General features: G+C 40.2%; 1 protein-coding gene across 22 annotated transcripts in view; it reads left to right on the forward strand.

Moving 5' to 3' along the window:
• NLGN4Y (neuroligin 4 Y-linked) overlaps positions 1 to 23,356 on the forward strand; it is a 323,039-nt gene that overhangs the window by 282,959 nt on the left and 16,724 nt on the right. For all 22 annotated transcript variants that reach the window (NM_001394830.1, NM_001365586.1, NM_001365591.1 and 19 more), the window contains one exon: positions 18,614 to 18,799. In NM_001394830.1, coding sequence (NP_001381759.1) covers positions 18,614 to 18,799 — 186 coding nt within the window. The remainder of the gene's footprint in view (positions 1 to 18,613; positions 18,800 to 23,356) is intronic.

Consider the following 23,356-nt stretch of genomic DNA (forward strand, 5'->3'; position numbering starts at 1 on the left):
CCAAGTTTGTGTATGTTATGGCAACAACTAAGAAACACATACATCACATTATTTAACCTTTGCTTGTAAACAATTTGTCTCTCCATGCTGGAGGGTGAATCTCCTGATATCAAAGATCCTGTTTGTATTGTTCATTGTCTGTGTCTTCAACACTAAGGACAAAACATGACTAGCATATTTTGAGCATTCATGTAGACCTGTTAAATGAACACATGGAATAATCTCAAATGCCTGCTAAGTATTTTATCTCAATTTCATCTTGTTATATTAAAACCTGTGGTCAGCTGTGGTGGCTCACGCCTGTAATCCCAGCTATCTGGGAGGCCAAGGCGAGAGGATCAAGAGGTTAGGAGATTGAGACTATCCTGACTAACACGGTGAAACCCCGTCTTTACTAAAAATACACACACAAAAAAATTTAGCTGGGCATGGTGGCAGGCGCCTGTAGTGCCAGCTACTCAGGAGACTGAGGCCGGAGAATGACATGAACCCGGGAGGTAGAGGTGCAGTGAGCTGAGCTCATGCCACTGCACTGCAGCCTGGGCAACCATGCGAGACTCTGCCTCAAAAACAAAAACAAAAACAAAAAACAAACAGAAATATTAACAAAAACAAACAACAACAAATAAAAACCTGTGCTTTTTTCCCAACAATTAACTTCAACTCTTAATCATCATTCTTTTGCCTTGGGGGATAATATAAGGTTAATTATATTTTGTAAAACACAAGAGTCATGAACAAAATCTAATGGACCATACATAGCCTCCATGTGCTGTCTACTCATGATGCAGTGTTTCAAATATAAAACATATATATAGTATATATGTATACATACATATATACATTCAACAAGCAAACAATATATATATTACCCTGGAGAACTGCTTTGTTGAAGCCTATAAAAGTTTGTGTGTGGAGCTTATAAAATTGAGTGTGATAAAAGTTGGAAAATTGAGATAAAGTGGAGAATTGTTACTGTGATAGTTGCTTAAAATCTAGTTTTTAGAACAACACTAAGTTTGACCATAGCTGCTCTGGTATGTGATCCATTTAATGTTTTTGCTTTTGTACATTAATTATCAGAGAGATATCTTAGCCTGAGATATTTAAATCTGTTAGTGAATAAAGACTTCCATGCAACACCGAGACAGAGTTATCAAAAATGACAAATCCTTGACAATTATAGTAACAAACTTTAGTACAGTAAGAGATATAATAGGACACTGTAACTGCTCTCAGATCAAACATCCCTCCTGCTTAGAGAAAAAAAAAAATTGCACTTAGTGCAAATAGAATTGCACCAATTTCTCTGATACAGCCTGAAAATTAAGCCAACATTTCAGGTCTTGTAAGAAAAGTTGCTGTCTTCTGGCTTAGAAAAGGCATCCCAGGTAGTGGCTGACCATTAAAAGGAAGATGAGCGTTATGAGGTAGCCATCTTCAAAAAGAAAAATGGCAAAGACTTTACAAAACCTTAATGTTACAATGTATAAAAATAGTATAAATAAGTAAGAACTTAAAGAGACAGAGAGTGCGGTTAAAGCAGCAAGCCAGTAGGACAATTTTAGTGTATAGCTTAAGGTACAATATATGCATAATTTGCCCTTCCTTAATTCTAGAAAATATTGTCTGTCTTCTTCAATAACCTTTCTATTAATGAAACTAAACATTCCACTGGGATTTTAGCTCTTTTTTATGCTGTCATATTTACTTTGCTACTGTATGTGATTACAACTAACTTCTAATTTGTCTAATATATGTGATATTTTATCTAGTATTTCATTCATTTAATATGAATTTTAATTAATCTAATATAATATTGTAAAAGTCTTTTTCTTATATGTATTTTATAGTGCCTTTTATATGTGTTTTATCTCCATACTTTGATGGTGAAAACTTACTTTCAATTCAAGTGTTTTAAAATACTCTCATTAAAAACAAATGGAAATATAAATGAAAAAAAAACATTTCTGTAACTTTTCAAAGTATATATGGAAATGCACTCAACTGTGGCAACATTTTCCCCCAGGTTTAGCATATTGCTTGGATGATTATGGCTACTTCATACATGTTTGTTGAATGAGAATTTTTCATAAATTTTATAGTGTATGTAAAAGCTATGGTATGTTTTTTGTCTTGTCTTTCTCTTTTGGCTTTAAACACATAGTGGCTAAACACAGAGCAGGCTGAATAAATACATCCCCCCTTTATGCAAAATTATTCACTAATAAATGGTATCTAGTTCATTCTTTAAAATACCATAAGAGAACACATAATATCTCTTTACCATTTGCAAAATTTTGAAGTCAGAGTCTAATTTGACCAGCAGTCGATTTTACCCTTTGGACTCGTTTAATTTATTTGAAGAACATTTATTTGTTCCTCATGTGTGCAGGTGAAGCAAAACTAAAGAGCATGGCTTCTGATCTTCATGGAAGCAGGCTAGTAGGCAGCTATTTTTTGTTTGCTTTTTGAGATGGAGTTTTTTTTTCTTGTCACTCAGGCTGGAATGCAATGGCATGATCTCCGCACACTACAATTTCTCCTCCCAGGTCCAAGTGATTCTCATGCATCAGATCCCCGAGTAGCTGGGGTTACAGGCATGCACCACCACACCCAGCTAATTTTTGCCTTTTTAGTAGAGATTGGGTTTCACCATGTTGGCCAGGCAGACCTTGACCTCCTGACCTCAGGTGAACTGCCTGCCTTGGCAACCATTTTTGAACATATTCCACATGAGGCACCATGCTGTTTCTTGTACATTGTCCAGTTGAGTTCCTCAGCTTTCTATGTGAGGACTACTATTCTCCTCCCTTTTTCACATGTAAAGAAAGCTGGGCTTTGAAATCTTAAATAACATGTTTGAGGCCTTACAATAGATTACACCCCAAAGGTGTCAGACTGAATCCATTGAATCAATAACTCTGACAGCAATTACAAAGCAAATGACCTTTGTGTAACATGGTATATTCTATAACAGAAATTCATTGAATGCCATTTAGTGTGCTGAGACAATACAGATAATCACACAGGACACTTCTGGAAAGAGGTCTACATTGGTAGAAAGACTTGGCCAGGTCCTACCTGATTATGTAGGTGACTCCTGCAGAAGATGCAGAGCCTGCCCTTCAGGTCACACTGACCTTTCAAGTGGTGCTGTGTCCATGAGCTAGCCATGCAGCTTTTTTATATGGCCATAGCCACAGGAAGGGATGCTCAGGCAAGGTGTTCAAGGCAATTAAAGGCTGCAGAGGCCACCTTAGATCTTGAGGACTTCATATAAAAAAGCAAGCATTTCAAAATCCAAGGCATATTCTGGAAGTAGTTAGCAAGTATAGTGGTGGATTTGCAAGCTCAAGAACATAAGTAGGGCATCCCTTGAGAAGGTCACATGGGCCCACACAGGATGACCCTTGGATTCCCAGTAATGAATTTGTGTGTCCAGTACACTCATTATATTGTGTGTGAATGTGATTGCTAAAAAAGAAGATATAAATTGTGAACAAAATATAAACAGTTATTAGCAATAAAACATGAACATTTCCTATAACCACCTCCTTTGAGATAATCACTCTCCACTGTTTGAATTCCTTCCACATTTTATTTTTTAATAAAATAAATGGGCCACGCAAAGTGGCTCATGCTGGTAATCCCAGCACTTCAGGAGACAGAGGCAGGTGGATCACTTGAGGTCGGAAGTTTGAGACCAGCCTGGACAACATGGCAACGTCTCTGCAAAAAATACAAAAATTAGCCCACACGTGGTGGCACATGCCTGTAATCCCACCTATTTGGGGGACTGAGGCAGGAGAATTGCTTGAATCCAGGAGGTGGTGGTTGTAGTGACCCAAGATTGTGCCACTGCACTTCAGCCTGGTCGAGGCTCTGTGGCAAAAAAACAAAAAACAAAAAACAAAACAAAACAAAACCCTAAAAAATATAATAAAATACAATAAAAAGTATTTAGCAGCCCACTATTTTTTTTTTTTTTCAGATGGAGTCTCACTCCGTCACCGAGGCTGGAGTGCAGTCACATGATCTTTTCTCACGGCAACCTCTGCCACCCAGGTTCAAGCAATTATCCTGCCTCAGCCTCCCAAGTAGCTGGGATTACAGGCAGCCCACTATTTTTATTGAGACACCATAGATGTGTTCCTGTCTCCATGCATGTAAATACTCCTTAACACTTCATGCAAACAAACAGCATCCCATAATATGGATGCAGGCAAGAGAATCCACTCAAGTCACTGATTTGTGAACACTGAGCTTGCTGCTATTGTTTGTTTTTAAAATTACAATCCATGTGAATTGCAGAGCCTTGGGTGGTTATTTTTATGCATCAGAATAAAGATTTTCATAGAAAAACCATTCAAAGCATTAGGACTCCTAGGTCAGAAGTCTCCAATTTTAATTTTCCTGGGTTTTACTCATCCTCTTACATTGGACAGCATCATGATTATTTTGATAGTGCAGAAATTCAGAGAAAGCTGAAAGGACATAAAACCCAAGTGGGTAGGTCCTGGAGGACTGTGGTTCTCATCTCAGGCACTAGGATGCAGACCCAGGGAGGAACAAGATGTACAAGCTTTTTGAAAAATAAAACCAAAAGGATGTGACAGCCAATTGAATGAGAGTCATAGCAAATCTGGAGATATATTTAAGGAGAAACTGCTCAGTTAAAAAGATTCAAAGTTGTCTGGGTGTGATGGCTCATGCCTGTAATCCCAGCAGATCACTTGAGCTCAGGAGTTTGAGACCAACCTGGCCAACATGGCAAAACCAGATCTCTACTGAAAATATAAAAATTAGTCAGGCATGGTGGTGTGCGCCTATAATCCCAGCTGCTCGGGAGGCTGAGGCAAGATAATCACTTGAATTTGGGACATAGAGGTTACAGTGGGCCGAAATCATGGCACTGCACTCCATCCTGGGCAACAGAGTGAGAGAGTCTATCTAAAAAAAAAAAAGACTCAAAGTTGACTCAAAGAGAATTGTTTCCAGGCAGGCCATTCTCAAATTTTCATTTCCATGAAACTCATATATCAATTATCTTCAAGTTTTGATATATTATTGTTTATTAAGCAAACTGTATTTATTATTTTATATTTTGCTCAGAAAATATCCATCTTGGTTTTTTTTATTTTATGTAATTGAAACTAAAGCACTTAAAAAAGCTTATGCAGCTTCATTATAGATACATGTAGGTGGACATTACCTACTTTATGAAAATGATGCAAGGAATCTGAATAAGAGTTTGTGGGCCCCAGAGTTTGGAAATCTGTGGTATAAATACCATGTGTCTGTTATAATTGTCTTAGATTTTCTCTATGGACTTTGGAAACTAAATTTTGGCTCTGTGAAATAATGATATGATAACATGATACAATAGGAAAATAGTCTGCTAGTACTCATTCCATTTTTAAGTAAAGTAAAAACTAAAAATCAAAGGCACTGAATTTCAACCAGCCTTACCTATCAAGCTACAGAATTTGAGTGCAGGACGTCACGTTCCCTCCCATCCAGCACACTCTGTATATGTATGTGCTCCTGTGTTGAATCCTACACAATTTAAAACAGAAAACTGAAGCCTCACCTTTTAATAAATTGACTATGAATGATTTCCTATAACCATCAAAGATTAGTTTTTAATCTATTTGACTGATTTTTATTTTTTATACCTCTGCCTTCATTCTCACCAGATTTCTCTTTGACCACAGTTGTGTGACCTAAAACAAATTCTGTTTGTTCTCACTGAATAATTTTTATTTAAACTTTTCCTGTTTGGTGTCACTTCTTTAGTTTAAAGGTGCACATATGTGTGTCTGTGTACATATACATTCATACCCATACATTCATATATATGGTTATATATGCATATTGTATGTATGCGCCAGCTACAGGTAAATGACACACACGGAAATGGTCAAAGATATTTAACTTCTCTATTCACATAATTATCTTCTGGTTACTTGTCTCCAAAAAATGCCTAGTGTGTTTATACGAGGAATGATCTCATAAAAGAAAGTGGATTATGGCTTTAATGTCATATAACAATGTCTTTTGTTAATTAAAAGGCCAACAATATCTGACCCCATTTGGTTCCTTACCATTGACTTGGAGGGCATGCAGAAACAAAAGACCTGCAATTATTCTCCTAAGCCTTGTGATATAATTCAAAAGGAGAGGAAACATCTACATTATTATTTATAATAAAAAGTGGAAACTTTTCTATTCTACCAACAATATTAAGCCCAACTAGAAATCCTCATGTTTATATGATACTCATTTTAGTCAACATGCAGAAGGAAAAACTGATTCCTGTTTTACGGCACCTTTACCATGAAACATGTTTTTAAATAACCACACTAACTGAATGTATTAGTCTGTTCTCATGATGTTAATAAAGATATTCCTGAGACTGGGTAATTTATAAAGAAAACAGATTTAATGGATTCACAGTTTCACATCGATGGGGAGGCCTAACAATCATGGCAGAAAGTAAAAGAGGAGCAAAGTCATGTCTTACGTGGTGGCAGGCAAGAGAGCATGTGCAGGGGAACTGTCCTTCATAAAATCATCAAATCTTGACTATGAAAATAGCATGGGAAAAATTCACGCCCAAGATTAAGTTACCTCCTGGTGGGTCCCTACCACTATGGGATCTACAATTCAAGATGAGATTTGCCTGGGGACACAGCAAAATCATATCACTGAAAATATTGATTGATATTTCTTGTGTGTATATTTTTGTTGTCGATGTTCCTTCCAGAGCCCTGGATGAAACTTGGCATCAATGTAGCCATTAACATGCATTAATTCTACATGATCTCTTTTGCATCTTTCTTTTGTTGTTCAGTTGGTAGAGGAGAGGTTGCTGATTTACAAGCTTCATTTTAGGGAGAGTAAAACTTAAAAGCCAAAATTTCATCAGCTAACAGGCTTAGAGTATGGAGCCTAAAGGACCTGTCGATGAAGGAGGTTATTCGTTGCATATCTGTGGTTTTAGACAATCAAGGGGGTTGTTTTTTTCATTCACCTGGAATGTGTATTTAAAGTTAAGTGATCTACCTGAGAGCTGAGTTCTCAAGAAGAGCACTCATCTTTGATATTATGCATGGCTCTCTCCAAGTTGATGAGGTACCATCATTTTGCTCTCTACAATCAGGAGGCAAAACCCAGTGATTTAGGTGTGCAGGATTCCTAAAATATTAATTTTAACTTGCTACAAAAAATAGCAGGGTTTCTGGTGTCTGAAAACTTTTGAGAAATCACACCATTAGAATATTGTTAAGATCACTCTTTATTTGCACTTAAGAAGATAACTTTGTCAGGAAAATTTTCTTTCTTCCTATCTTCCTTCCTTCCTTCCCTCCTTCCTTCCTTCCTTCCTTCCTCCCTCCTTCCCTCCTTCCCTTCCCTCCCACCTTCCCTCTCCCTGCTCCATCACATAATATAGCTATAATGTGCTGCCTTTTCCTCTCCTCCAGTGTTATTGATAGGAAAAACTGGCCAGGTACTGATGAATAAAGAAAAAGACAAATTTATAGTGAGATCTGATTGTCACAGATCAGGTGCCTTATGAAAACAGGTCATTTTCTTCTTCAAACAATAACTTTCTGAGCTCAGAATTTCATGACAATAAGCCCACATGCTTCTTAAGTCTCATTTATATAAAATGTGATTTAGACCTCAGAACACTGTAACTGCCCAACAGACTCATCTTTACTACACAGATAGAGCTGATTAGTCAAGATAGAAGAATTGCAATAAACAGTTTAATTCCTACAGAGCTGGCTAAATAAGTGATTGGAGTTTTATTATTACCTAAATCAGCCTTCCCCAAAATTCGAAGGCTTGAGTTTTTCAAGGATAGTTTGGCATTTAGGGGCTAGGGAATGAGTGCTGCTGGATTGGTTGGGATGCAATTATAGTGTTTTGGAAAACAACCCTGGTGCACTAAGTCACCCTCTACATGGGGATACAGAGATGTTAATGGTCCCAGTGGGACCAATCAATTGTCGCAAATAAAAGCCTGAAAAGGCATCTCAAAAGGCCAATCTGTACTATTCTTATCACCTGAGTAACAACAATTCAAGATGAGATTTGGGTGGGGACACAGCCAAATCATATCACCGAAAATATCTATTGATATTTCTTGTGTGTATATTTTTGTGGTTGTTGTTCCTTCCAGAGCCCTGGATGAAATTTGGCAACAATGTATCCATTAACATGCATTAATTCTACATGATCTCTTTTGCATCTTTCTTTTGTTATTCAATTGAAAGAGGAGAGGTTGCTGATTTACAAGCTTCATTTCAGGGAGAGTAAAACTTAAAAGCCAAAATTTCATCAGCTAACATGCTTAGAGTATGGAGCCTAAAGGACCTGTCAGTGAAAGGTCCTGTCACATGAAATTTACCTACATAATAAACCTATAGTTGTACCCCCAAACCTAAAATAAAAGGTTTTTAAAGGCCAATTTTAGTTTCTAGTGATTGGGGAAGTTGCAGATCTTGTCACCTATGGAATTGTGTCTGGAGTTTGTTCCTTCTGGTGGGTTCATGGTCTCACTGACTTCAGGAACCAAGTTTCCACTCGACCCAGGAAGTCCACCTGGCTTCACATACCAATAGAAGGTGTCTCCTCTAAACTGGACACCCCAAATGCTATTGGGAATTGGGTGATGACCGCTCTACCTACTTCCTGATGGATAGGGGCAAAGAAGTGGCCCTGCAGTTGTAATGTCCTTCAGAGGGGAACTCTCTAGCCCAGTCTTGGAGCCACAAGGTCGATTCAGGGGTCCTCAGTAGAAGTTGTGAGTTGAGCTCATTTGGGGTTCCATTTGTAAGACCATCTGTAGCTTGATGGCCTCGATCCTGGAGGAAACAAATTTGACAAGGAGATTAAAAATACAGGGCCCAAATGCAAGTAATAGCAAGATGGCTGTCACAGGACCTAGAAAGGGGAGAAGCCATGTCACTCAACTTCAGATGTTGGTATAAGAGTTTGAGAGGCATTGTCTGATTTCACAAGTCTTTTCCTGTAAACACTGGATGGCATCTCATATTATCCCTGACTGGTTAATATAAAAACAACACTCTTCCCCTAAGAAGGTGCAGAGTCCTCCTTTCTCAGCAGTGAGGAGGTCTAGGCCTCAGTAGTTTTGGAGAGTCACTGCTGCCAAAGAGTCTACTTGGGATTGCAGTGTAAGGAAAGATTTTGTTATTTCTTGAAAACTGTCTGAGAAATACTTTTAGAGTGTGTGATAGGTAGTAGGATAATGGAGTAGATAAACTGGCTATTCTGTTTCCTGTATCAGTGGCCATTCCTAAAACTATAAGTAGGGTTATTAGTTGCATGGCCCTGCACTGACGAACTTGAACTTTAAGGGGCACTGATAGGGTCTGATTTCCTGGGGAAATGTCAGTGTTGGGACTTAGGAAGACTAAGTTCCAGGTGCCTGTCCAGGTGGGGAGGCAGACGTAGGTTCAAGTTCCACATAAGAAGAACATGCCTTGGCTGAGTAGACAGAACTGGTTGTATATGTTAAAAAGGCTTGTGATAATAATAATAACTCATATTATTTTCATTTTCCCATACTCCTAGAGTACTTGCCAAGGTACCTCCAGAGAATAGCTGAAAAGGAGTGTTGGGAGAAAACTGAGTGGCTCCCTGTGTTCTATTTTCCCATTGGAGAAAAAACCGTTTTGTATCTACTAGGAACCATTCAAGACAGTGATAGAAAGAGGGAATGAGAAGGCTTTCATTAGTGGTGGGGATGCTGCTGCAAGGGGTCCAGGGATGAATGGTCATGCAGGGAGAATGTTTGCCATTACAACACCCAGACTGTTAAGCAGGTAGGAGGTGATAATTTTTGGAGGCCCTGAGAAGCAGACAAGCCATCTGAATGGAGCTGTATGGGTGACTCACAAGTTGCTATGATCTGTTGGTGGTTGAAGTTGTAGAGTATTATTACACTGATGGCATTGTAGGTTTCCAGGGGCAGGCCTGATAACAGATTGCACTGGATGCATAAAGAGGCTTGAAAAGTTAAGATGGTATTCGTGGTTACAGGGCCATATATGGGCTTTTCATTGCTAGTGTAATAGGTGAAAGTGGAAATGTAAGAGTGTAAAAGCTGGATTCCATGTCCTGTTAGGGTATTCTTGGTAAGCTTTGTGATAACCCAAATCTAGGAATTATTTCATGAATTAGGACTTTAACCACTTCCTGAGCATTCTCTGTCTTGCAGGGGAAGGCTTCTATCAAATTTCTAAAGATATCAGCACAGACCAACAAGTATTGAAATCCCTTTAACTTAGGCATAGGCATGAACTCTAAATACCAGTCCTGCCCAGGATAGTGCCCTATTCTTTCTTCTCCCAGAGGGGCCTTATGATAGACCATGGGGTTTTTTCTTTGGCACACATCACAGGCTTTGACTACTTGTCAGATGATCTAGAGGAGACATGTCCTTGTAAATAGGGATTTGGCTATTTGATGAGTGTTCTCAATACACATATGGAGAGTTTGGTGGAGGCTTTTAAGTATTTTCCACTGGCTGGCTTCAGGTATGAGTACCTTTCCCTTTTCTGTCATTAACCACCCCTAGCATAGAAAACTATACCCCCGTGAAATTTTCCATTCTGTTTCATTTGGGGAATACTGGGGCTTAATCTCTTGGAGAGGGTTGTTCCATACCAAGGGTCCTTCCACAGGTACTTCTAATGGGAGGTTCCGCCTGGTAGCAATTTTGGCCTCAGAGTCTGCCTGACAGTTTCTACCTTTTCTCCTTCATCTTTTTAATGGCTTTGGCAGCACAAGACTGCCACCCCCTTGGTTTTTGCACTGTGTGCAATAACTCCATGATTTCCTTGTGGCATTTAATGGGGGTTCCCCCAGAAGTTAGGAACTCCCTTTTTCTTCATATTGTAGCATTGGCTTGTAGGGTTAGATAAGCATAGTTTCTACCTATATACACATTTATTATTTTTGCTTTTCCCATTTCTAAGGCTCGGGTAAGCACCAGTAGTTCTGCTAACTGGGTGCTGATCCCTGGGTGAAGAGGGTTACTTTTCAAATACTGTTACATCACTATGGCATAACCTGCCCCTTCATCTCCCATTCTCCACAAACGAACTTCCATCGTTCTATAGGTTAAGGTCAGGATTAGCTAAGGGGACTTCTTAGAGATCCTCTTGGGTGACACAGTCTGGGCTACAATTTGTTGGCAGTCATGCTAGATCGGTCCCATGCTATGGGAGAAAAGTCGCAGGGTTGAGGGCTGCACATGTGCATACTTGAAGCAAAGTCTCAAGGAGTAGCACCTGGTATCTAAGCAGGTGGTTATCTGATAGCCATAAACTTCCTTTGGCACCTAGTGTGCCATTTACATCATGAGTAGTCCAGACAGTGAGATCCTTTCCTTGTATTATTTTGATAGCCTCTGACACTAAGATGGCCACCACTGCAACTACCCGTTAACAGTGAGGCCAGCCTTTTGCTACTACATAAATTTCCTTACTTAGGTATGCTGCTGGTTGTGGGGACACTTAGTGCGTCTGAATAAGGACTCCAAGAGCTATTTCCACTCTTTCTGTGATGTATAAAAATAATTTTTTTCATGTACGAAGGCTTAAGGCTACAGCTTGTACTAGGGCCTGCTTTAAGGTTTTGAAAACTGTTTCTGCCTCTGGTTTCCATTCCACTAGATGAGTATTTGCCCTCTGGGTGTCCTTGATTAAAGTATAGAGTGGCCTGGCCATCTCGCCGTATCCAGGGATCCATAGTTGGCAAAACTGGTGATCCCAAGGAACGTCTGCAACTGTTTAAATTTCTTAGGGCAAAGGATAAGCCAGTATGGGCTGCATTTATTCTTTGCTGAGGGTTCCTCTGGTTAAAATTAGGCCTGGATATTTGAATTGTTGTAGGCAGAGCTGGCCTTCAATTAGATGCCTTTTACCATTGATTAGCTAGAAACTTCAAGAGATCTATAGTAGACTGCTGGCATGTGGCTTCCAAACTGGTAGCGAAAAGTAAATCATCCACATTCTCAAGGACCAGTGTACCTGGACTTGAGAAGTGACCTAGATCTGGGATAGCACCTGACCAAACAGATGAGGGCTATCCCTAAATGCTTGAGGTAAGACCGTCCATGTAAGTTGGGATGTGTGGTCTGTGGGATCCTCAAAGGTAAAGAGAAACTAGGAGTTAGAGTGCAGGGGAATGGAGAAGAAGGCATCCTTGAGGTCCAGAACAGTGAACAATTCTTTTTCCTCTGTTGAGAGTGTAGAGGTATAGGTCTTGGGTGCACCTGGATATAGATGAATTTCTGCCTCATTGATGAATCTAAGATCTTGCACTAGTCTCCACTAACAATTCGGTTTTTGTACTCCTAGAATTGGAGTGTTGTAGAGACTGCTGCATTTTCTTGCTAAGCCTTGAGATTTTAGATGTCTAACAATATCCTATAATTGTTTATGAGCTTCAGACCTTAAGGGATATTGCCTTTGATAAGGAAAATTGGTGGGGTCTTTCAGCCTGATTTGGACAGGGCCAACATTTTTTGCCCTTCCGAACTGTCCTTACAATGCCCAGACTCCAGGGTTGATTCCCTCCTCAAGCAGTGGACAACAGATAAGTGACTTGTTCCCCATATTCATATGGATAATAGCTCCAGCTTTGGCTAATATGTCCCTTCCTAATAAGGGTGTGGGACTTTGAGGCATAACAAGAAAGGCATGTGAAAAGAGCAAAGTCTCCCAATTACAACTGAGGAGCTGGGAGAAATGCCTGGTTACAGGCTGCCCCAGGATTCCTCAGATGGTAATGGACCTTCAGAGCAGCCATCTGTGGCAGGATATTAACACTGAGAAGGCCACATCCATGTCCAGAAGGAAGTCAATGTCCTGGTCCTCAATGGTTAAATGTACCTGGGGCTCAGTGAGGGGGACAAAATGAGCTGGTGCTTTCCACAGGCACCCTCAGTCCTGCTGTTGGATCACCTGGTTGGGGACTGCTGGTCCTGAGAACCTTTGTCCTCTGGGGCAGTGTGCTTTCCAGTGATGACCTTGGCATAGTGGACATGGCCAAGGGGGTGACTTGTTTCTCACTGGACAATCTTTTCTAAGGTGTCCTTGAAAACCACACTAATAACAACCCCTACCAGGTAATTGGTCTGATCCATTTTCTGTCCTCTCTGAAGCACCAAGGTTTGTTTGACTGAGGGCCATGACTGTGGCCTTTCACTGATCTCCCTTTTCCTTTTGGGCCTGTTCCTCTTGGTCTCTATTATAGAACACCAAATTTGCCAGGTTTAATAATGCCTCCAGATTTTGTTCGGGGCCAGGGCTCACTTTTGGAGCTTTATCCTGATATCTGCAGCTGATTGGATATGTGTTAGGATCAATTGACCCTCGAGGGAGTTGGTTGACAGGGGAATATATTTTCTTAAGGCCTCTTGTAGCTGCTCAAGGAAGGCAGTAGGATTATTTTCCTTTCCCTGAGTTATGGTGGACATCATTGATTAATTCATGGGCTTTTTCCTATTCTCCTTAGTCCTTCTAGAACACAGGTCAACAGATGTTTGTGACTCCAGTCCCCACGATCTGAGTCTAGATCCCAGTGGGGATCCATATGGGTTACAGCTTGCTGACCAGTAGGGAATTTGTCCCTTTCTTCGGCTGTTATTCTATCATTTACTTAACTAAAATACCAGATCTCCAAACACTCAGGCTGTAGCTAAAGCCACTTTATTTTCACTAAAGGCCAGGGTTTGATCTAACAATAGCATGATATCTTTCCAAGTGAAGTCAAATATTTGCCCTGGACCCTGTAGGACATCTATATACCTATTCAGGACTATCTGAAAACATCCCCAGGTCTACCTTATCTGCTTTAAATTGGAGAGGGAGAAGGGGACATGTACCTAGGTTCAGTCAAATTCCCCTCCCCTGACAGCTTGAAGGGGACATAAGCCATAGCCTGGGGGTGTTTGTGGTCCCTTGGATATTTCTTTGCTTGTTCCCCTTCTGGGTGGGGGAGACTAGAGGAGGCTTATTACTGATAGGAAAGGGAGCTGTATAGATGGTAGGATATGAAGCTAAACTGAGAGGTCCTCCTGTGGAATGTAAATTTCAAGCTTTGCCTTGTTGTGGATTATCCTTCAATGAAAAGAAAGCTTAGACATAAGATATTTCACTCAATTTGCCTTCTCTCTTACAGGTCAAAGGACAGTATGGCATTCTAATTTATACTTCCCTCAGGTGGTCATTTTTCCCATCAGAGAGAGAATATTGAGGCCAGGCCATAGTGCAGAAAAAAAAATAAGCCACTTCTATTTCAGTGTTTGCAGATCAAATTGTTCCCAATGGCTTAGGATGCATTTCAAGGGTGAGCTTGTTGATGCCTGAGTGATTCCCATCTAAAAGAAAAAAACAAATGTGGTTTTGGTTTGCCTTTTTTCCTTGCCCAAGATCCTGCAACAGTCCCTGGACCCTGATGTTCCGAATAGTTGTGCTCGCCAAAGCAGCAGCAGAAACACTAGTTTTCCTCCTAGATCATAAGGAGGACCAATAAATGTCGGATTTAGTAGCCCTTACCAACACATTCTTGAAAATCAACACCCTTGCCTTTCCTCTTAGACCACAAAGAGGACTGAGAAAAATCAGATTTAGTGGCCCTTAGTGATGCATCCTTAAAAATCTGTAAGAGTCCTAAGCATTCTCCTCTTAGTATTGGGACCTTATCCTTGTCCTATAAAGATGATATGCATCAAAATGGAGTGGAGGGCCATACCCTTAGGGAGGGAAGGGATCTCCAGGGTTGGAAGAGTGACACCTTTTGTCCTCACTTCTCATCAATGAAAAGGAAGGATATAATTTCTGAGGCTCCCCTTATCCTAGCTTCAGGAATAGCCTTTGTTAGGCCTGCTAGTCTGAGGAGGGTTGATAAATTCCAGATCATCCCCCTCCCAACAAAGCTTCAGGTGAAAACTATGTTTTTCTGATAGGGGAGCCTGGGTACCTAAAGAAGGAACAGAGTCCCACAGTTTATACCATAAATCATTTATAGGAGAAACTAGAAGATCACCAGGGACAGGGAGTTGTTTTTAGACACAGGGCTACCTTCAGAGAAGAGAGGCAGTAGGAAAGGTTGTCTTACAGGCGTTAGGACCCAGAAGGCAAGGGTCACGATAGATAGGATAGATGGGCGAGTCTCGCTTGTGCAACATAACTTTGAAAGTTATGCTCATGGCTGCAGGGTCAACCAACTTTTTGTTGGGACCCTGGAGCTGAATGACTTTCCTCTCTGTCAACCCTTGGCTCAGCCAAGAAATGCAGGAAAAATGGAAGCTGGTTCCAGGCAAATCAATGCTCCCAACTCCAAAGATTCAGTGGTTGTTAGAGAGCCCTTTCCCAGAAAGCCTGACACCTGAGTCTTTAGTCCAGCAGCCACGCTAGTTGCTTTTAACTGGTCAACAGGTGCCTGGTATTTAGTCCCCGAATTCTAAAGAAAAATAGGACAGAATAGCAAGTGAAAAGGGTCCAGCGGTACTCACCACATGGCAATATCCTGGATGAGCCACTAGATGTGTCCAGAGTTGGTTCCTGCCAGTGGGTTCGTGGTCTTGCTGACTTCATGAATGAAGCTGCTGACCTTCACTGTGAGTGTTACAGATCTTAAAGGTGGCATGGACTCAAAGAGTGAGCAGCAGCAAGATTTACTGTGAAGAGTGAAAGAACAAAGCTTCCACAGAATGGAAGAGGACCCTAGTGGGTTGCCACTGCTGGCTGAGTTGGCCAACTTTTATTTTCTTATTTGTCCCATCCCATGTTGTCTGTCTGTCCTATCAGAATGCCCTTTTTACAATCCTCCTTGTGATTAACTACTTTTAGGTTATTATAGAGTGCAGATTTGTGCATTTTACAGAGTGCTGATTGGTGCATTTTACAATCCTCTTGCTAGCTACAGAGTGCTGATTGGTGTTTTTACAGAGCACTGATTGTTGCATTTTACAATCCCCTTACTAACTACAGAGCGCTGATTGGTGCATTTTACAATCCTCGCTAAAGAGTGCTTATTGGTGTGCTTTACAATTCTCTTGTAAGACTGAAAAGTTCTCCAAGTCCCCACTCGACCCAGGATGTCCACCTAGGTTCACCTTTCAGATAATGTTTGGTAATTATTTAACTAAGCCAACATCTTAGCAGAATTCAGGCATCTGTCATTTTTCTAACCTGCTGGTCTTTCATTAGTTTTACAAAGGTTGTTTAGTTTTAAGAAGGGCTATTATCATTTAAACTATAAGTTCAATTTCTCCCAAAGTTAGCTTGGCCTATGCTCAGCAATGATCATTGTAGTATGGTGGTGAAAGACAAGATGGTGTTGGTTAGGTCAGATCTCTTTCACTGTCATAATTTTCTCACAGTTACAAGTTTTGCAAAGGTGGTTTCAAGATGAAAGGAGTATACTCTTGTAAAGAGCGTAAAATTATTTCAGTCATTCTGTACCTGAAACAGGCACTCCCCCTTTTTGATAGTTTAAATTTAAAAAGAAAATTAATAATCCCTGGATGTTGCAGTAAATGAAAATTCCAATGCAGAAACTGTGAAAACACATGCTTCAAAACACCACATTCTTTTGTTAAACTTCAGAGATGCAAGCATTGCCATTTCCCTTGGCAAGCTTACAGAATATTTGGAGGAAATTCTGAACCTCAAAGATCAATCCATCCAGTAGGATGCTGTTTGAATAACTAAGATTTTTGAACACAAGGGACATTCATTAGCCTGCTATTGGAAAGGTTACAAAAACCCTTGTTTTGTAAGGGAGGAAGGGATTGTGGTGGAAGAAAGGCCAGTGATTCACAGCATGTTGAAAATCTTCACGATCCTCTGCAGAAACAAAATAAGCCAACAGATCATTCTGCAGAATTGTGAAAGAGAGAACAGTGAGTTAAGAAAAGATGTGCTGAAGACAGAATCATTCTGTTAGAAAATTACTCGTGCCTTAAAAATTAATTACCTCTCTCTTTAATAGGGGACGAAAGCATTGCCCTGTGGTATTAGAGGGCACCCACACTGACATTATTCATCATTGTCATATGTACCCTGAATGAAAGGATTTCTTCTCCCAGGCAAAGCCTGATGCTCTTTATGAACAAACCGTGTCAAAGATTTAGTGATGGAGACTGGTGTTGCAGAACATTTTTGGCATAAAGCACTAATTAGTAATCACTAATTAAATGGTGGGGGGCTTGCGTAATGTCTGAACATACCCACTAATCACAGCTAATCTCACATCAAGTTTCTCTGAACTTTAAAGAAATCACATTGGTAGGATGTGTCTTAAGTAAGACCAACCTCACAGTTGCAATACTGCCTCTCCTTGAAGCTGCAGGCAATGGTGACTCCTGATTTAGGCTTGGAATTTATTGTCATTGTAGGAAAAAAAAAATCTTATGACTTTCTTTGAAGCCTGGCCATTTCCTCCTTTCCAGCTCAGAGCATTTTTCCAATTGTTCACGAAACCTAATGGAAGAAAATCTGGTTAACTCTACTGGTATGCAGCCTCATCCTCTACTCTTTTTGTTTTAAAAGTAGAAGCCAACACTCAGTCTCTCATTGGAATGCTGTCAACTTTGGTTAGGAATATGCTTTGAAGTAGTTGGTTTGGATTTATGTTATTTTAGGGCTTAAAGCAGTCTGTCATCATACAAACAAGCCCCTCCCTTATGTGACACTGTTGTTCATAAAAGGCATCAGACTTTGCTCGGGAGAAATGCTCAACTAAGGACAGGAAAATGGTAAAAAACAACAACGCAAGAAACCTTCCCCAAATACTCAACTATAATATTTGTTCCTTACATACAATTTCTTTTTTTGAAGATCTACGTCATTAACTCATTTGAAGGGACATTTAGTACGTAATTTATCATAGGAGTCTGTTGTGTTTAAAGAAAAATGTGCACACAAATGGTACCTTGAACCTCGTAAAATTTACAATGACTTCTGGGATTGCTTCATGTTATTAATATTTTAGATTCATTTTGTCTTCTATTAGCCACATATATACCCAAAGATGACAAGGTATCATAATGTCAACTTAACAATAATCATTGTTTATGTAATTATTTCTGCCACAAAAATTTTTCTCTAGTTTTTTCTTTAATTTCCTGTAATTTCCACTAACACTGTAGATGCATTTTTCCTTCTACATTAGCCACATATATACCCAAAGATGACATGGTATCATAAGGTGAATGTAAACAATAATCATTATTTGTATAATTATTTCTGCCACAAAAATTGTTCTCCAGGTTTTTCTCTAATTTCCTATAATTTCCACTAACATTTTAGATTTATTTTGCCTTCTACATTAGCCATATATACCTAAAGATGACATGGTATCATAATGTCAACCTAAACAATAACTATTATCTATGTAATTATTTCTGCCACAAAAAATTTTCTACAGTTTTTCCTCTAATTTGTGGGGGACAGGGTTGTGGAGAGAGAGAATGAAGAAGGCAAGCTATGAGATAACTTTTCAAATGGTGGGGATGTGTACACAATTTTTTTGACCAACAAAAATGTCCTGTGTTCTTCTGTAGGGTTTTTAAGTACCGGTGACCAGGCAGCAAAAGGCAACTATGGGCTCCTGGATCAGATTCAAGCACTGAGGTGGATTGAGGAGAATGTCGGAGCCTTTGGCGGGGACCCCAAGAGAGTGACTATCTTTGGCTCGGGGGCTGGGGCCTCCTGTGTCAGCCTGTTGACCCTGTCCCACTACTCAGAAGGTAATAATGGTGTCCCCGGGGTGGGTGGGCAAATGCCCTGAACCAAGAAATGAATAGTCAGAGTTCATAGCTGAGATTCATGTCCAGGTTGCCAGAAGTCACTGTGGAAATTGCAACAGAAAATGCCCAAAAGACAAAATGAACCCATCTTCATATATTTTAACTCAGCTTTTTTTCCATTTGCTCTGTCACTCAGGCTGGAGTGCAGAGGCATGATCATAGCTCATTGCAGCCTCCAACTCCTGAGCTTAAGCCTTCTCCAATCTCAACCTGCTGAATACCTGGGACTAATGGTTAAATTTTAATTTTTATTTTTATAGAGAAGTGGTCTTGCTATGTTTGCTCAGGGTGGTCTCAAACTCCTAGCCTCAAGTGATCCTCCTCCCTTGGCCTCTCAAACTGCTGAGGTGACAGAATTGAGCCACCATGCTTGGTTAGCAATATCTCCTCATTTAAGTGTGTGACAATTAGGTGTCGGTTACAATGATAGGAAAAAAATAACTGCTTTAGAAGGGCGGACACTATTGTTTCTTTTGACAGTCTCACTGTATTTGAACATTTGAAATTTTATTAACTTCTAGCTACAATTTGGTAAGAGTAATATGGAAGAGAGACAGTACGTCAATAAGGAAGAGAAATAGTATGTCAATATTGCAGATTTATAGATTTTTAATCAACTGGGCTTTTAACCACGTGTTTTTTTAAAAGACACTTCTCTAATTCACATTAATTCTTTAAATCTTCTGGAAACATTAGGAACATGGCTGGTGCATTCATAGAGAAGTAGATTCTACCCATAGGAATAGTGTCTCTCTCCCTGACTCTGTCTCCCTCCCTCTCTCTCTTCCCCTTTCACTCTCCTCTTTCCCTCTCTCTTCCTGTCTCTCCCTCTCTATGTCCTCTCACTTTCTCTCTGTCTCTCTCTCTGTTTTCCTCTGTCTCTCGCCCTTCCTCTCTCCCCTCCTTCCACTGTCTCTCCTCGATCTCCCTCTCCCTCACACTATCCTCTCACCTCTTTCTCCTTTTCTCCCCTTCTCTCTTTGTCTCTCTTCCTCTCTCTCCCTCTCCAGTTCCCCAGTTTCTTCCTCACTGTCTCTCTTCCTCTCTCACTTCCCCCCCTTCACACTCTGTCTCTCTCCCTTTATTTCTTTCTCTCTGTCTCCCTTTTTCTCCCTCTGTCTCTTTCCCTTTCTTCCTCTCCTGCAAACATGACTTTCAGCAAAGGACCACCTTACTGGTCAGTTCAGCATGAGGCACTTGGAAGTGTCCACAGTTTCCTTTATCTCTCTCTCTCTAACACACTTTTAGGAAGAACCTCCCTGCTGGGCCAGTCAGCATGACATCCTCTACTTGTCCCCGTGGGAGCTCCAAACCCTCCCTGGGGCCCTGCTAATAACCTGGAAAAAGCTGCTGTTGGCAAAATAGGGGAAGGGGAAACCGCAGAAACACACTCACATCATGTTACCTCAATCAGACATGCACTTGTATGTGGTAGTTAGCATAGGCAACCACACCCAACCAGATGTGCACTTGGGCCTCTAAGTAGTAATTGCTCATGCTGCCTAAGTGGTGGTCAGCATAGACAGCCACACCCCTGAGCCCTGCCAGAGCACCTGAGGCTCACTCAATGCAATTCCCTGATGCTAATGCAAGAGGGAGGCTCTCTGCAGTATCAGATGAAACTTCAAAGAGAAGTCCACAGGAATTTGTGGCAATTGGTTCTGGAAGCTGGATCACCAATTCTTGGCTGTGGCCTAAAAGGAGAAAGCAGGAAAATCTGCAGAACAGATCCAGCCCTCTGTTACCTGGCCAGGTACAAATGAATATTCATAATAGCCATCTCAGTCATCAACACAGCATTGTGATATGTTCTGTGTCATTGGTAGGCTTCAGAATGGCACCACACTGACTGGACCATTTACATCTGAAGTACTCAAAATCTTAATGGAATTTTTCTTTCTTTTCTTTTTTTTTTTTTTTTTTTGAGACGGAGTCTCACTCTGTCACTCAGGCAGGAGTGCAGCATCATGATCTTCACTCATGTCAACCTCTGTCTCCCAGTTTTAAAATGATTGTCCTGCGTCAGCTTCCCAAGTAGCTGGGCTTACAGGTGACCATCACCATGCCCAGCTAATTTTTCTATTTTTAGTAGAGATGGTTTTTTACCATATTGGCCAAGCTGGTCTCAAACTTCTTGACCTGATGTGATCCGCCTGCCTCAGCCTCTGGAATTGTTATTTATTAAAGTTATCAGCTGGGTAAGGTGGCTCATGCCTGTTATCCCAGCAGTTTGGGAAGCTGAGTGGGGAGTATGGCTTGAGCCCAGGAGTTTGAGCCCAGCCTGTGCAACTTAGTGAGACCACATTTATACAAAAATAAATAAATAAAAACAAGCCAGGGCTGGTGGTGGACGCCTGTGGTCTCAGTTGCTTGGGAGGCTGAGGAGGGAGGATCACTTGAGCCAGGGAGGTCAAGTCTTCAGTGAGCTCTGAAGGTGTCACTGCACTTCACCCTGGGTGGCAGAGAGAGACCCTGTCTAAACATAAAGAAATAAAATTAAAAAAATACCTTTCTTTAAAGTAACTGCAGGACTTTCTTCACTTCCTGCACCATCTGAACAAGTTTCTAGATCACTATGCTCCTCAGTGTCTTCTTTAGCAAGATAGGACAGATGAGGATTTCCTAAAATCCTCCAAACTCTGAATTCCTTGAGTTCGTAGTTCATAATGTTTTGCCCAGGAGACCAAATGACTTTTGACCTCAAACTAGTGCTAATAACAGGGAAGAGGAAAGGCTCATATTTGTAGTAACTTTATTTTAAAAACAGGAACAATGAATAATCTGATGAACCATTTGGCATAGAGATTTCTATGGCATTTTTGAAAATACATAGATATTCACATTTCTCAGTTGATATGACAGTTGTAGATTTAGAAAGCAGTCAGAACCAACTTCAGGAGTAATGAAACACATGTAAGCCACACTAATTAGAGGAAAGTGTTAATTATTTAAGTCAGCAGGTTGGAAGTTATTATTTGCTGCAAAAATACCTTTTTGTTGGTCATTTATGCAAGGCAGTGCTTCTAAACAGCCCATCAGTATTATCAAGAATTTTGAAAAATATGAGCCCGGCACTGTGGCTCCTGCCTATCCTCCCAGTACTTTGGGAGGCTGAGGTGTGAGGATTGCTTGAGTCCAGGAATTCAAGAACAACCTGGGCAACAAAGCAAAACCTTATCTCTGCAAAACATTACAAAAATTAGCCAGGTGTGGTGGTGCACACCTGTAGTCCCAGCTACTTGGGATGTTGAAGTGGGAGGATCAGTTGGGCCTGGATGGCAGAGGCTGCAGCAAGCCAAGATCATGCCACTGCACTCCAGCCTGGGTAGCAGAGAGACACTCTGTCTGAAATAAAGATAAAGATAAAAATACCCAAATTGTTGGCCTTAGGAATTCTAGTCTAATGAAGGCAAAGTACCTGTGGAAAGAGACAGTTTTATGAAGATATTCACCCCAGTATTATTATCATAGCAAAGAATGAAATGGAAAAGCTACAAGATCAAAAGGAGATGAAAGTTATTAGAAACCATATGCAATAACTCAAAAGAATAATAATTTACCTAAGATATTCAACAGCTGGAAAAATGCAGTGTAGACAACTATATAAATATTGGGCTCAGCTATTCAAAACAATGTTTGAATGGAAGAGAAAGATGTAAGAAAGAATTATGTTAATTCCCAACATACTCATTTTGCTAAGGTGAGTTTTGCTTTAATGTTTGACTTATGGGTGATTTTTTTTCATTATCCAAGTTTTTTAGTGTCATCAGGAGTTATATTACTTTCCTAACATACAAATAACTGTTTTATATATGTTACTTATATATATGTGTGTGTGTATATATATATGTGTGTGTGTATATATATGTGTGTGTGTATATATATGTGTGTGTATATATATGTGAGTATATATATATATACACACAAAAATATGCTGCTACCTAGATTATTGCCAGTAGTTATAAGAAGGGTAGGAAAGGAACATCTCAGAGCATTTTTATCTAATTCTGAATGTTTTAACTAATGAAAGTATCCAACAGATTACATATTGACATTTTTTTCTTTTGGACATTTTAAAATAATCTTCAGAGCCAAGTACTCAAGTCAATACTTGTACATTTCTGACAGAAATGTTTCCAAGATGGCTTTGCTGACATAATGGTTAAAGCCATATTGGTTTCAAGTTGCAGTCCTGTGTGTCATCTTTGGGCAATCCTTTAGTCTTTAAAAATCATATCTTCCTGATGACAATCACATTTTCCTCATATTTGATTGCTTCCATGACATGAAAAATCAACACGGCATCTGGACTTACAGCTGAATGCTTTATTCTTTAGTGCCTGACTCAGTCTGGGATTTACAGAAACGTCAGGAAGTGATCGTAAATGGAATGCTGTGATTTTTACGGCCTGCCGTCTCTTGTCCTGTTATGATTAAAAATACAGATTTTATACTTCTGGACATTCATGTAGTAGACTGAGCTGATGGAGAATTTTA

The sequence above is a fragment of the Homo sapiens genome, chromosome Y, assembly GCF_000001405.40.
Source record: "Homo sapiens chromosome Y, GRCh38.p14 Primary Assembly".
Lineage (NCBI taxonomy): Eukaryota > Metazoa > Chordata > Mammalia > Primates > Hominidae > Homo > Homo sapiens.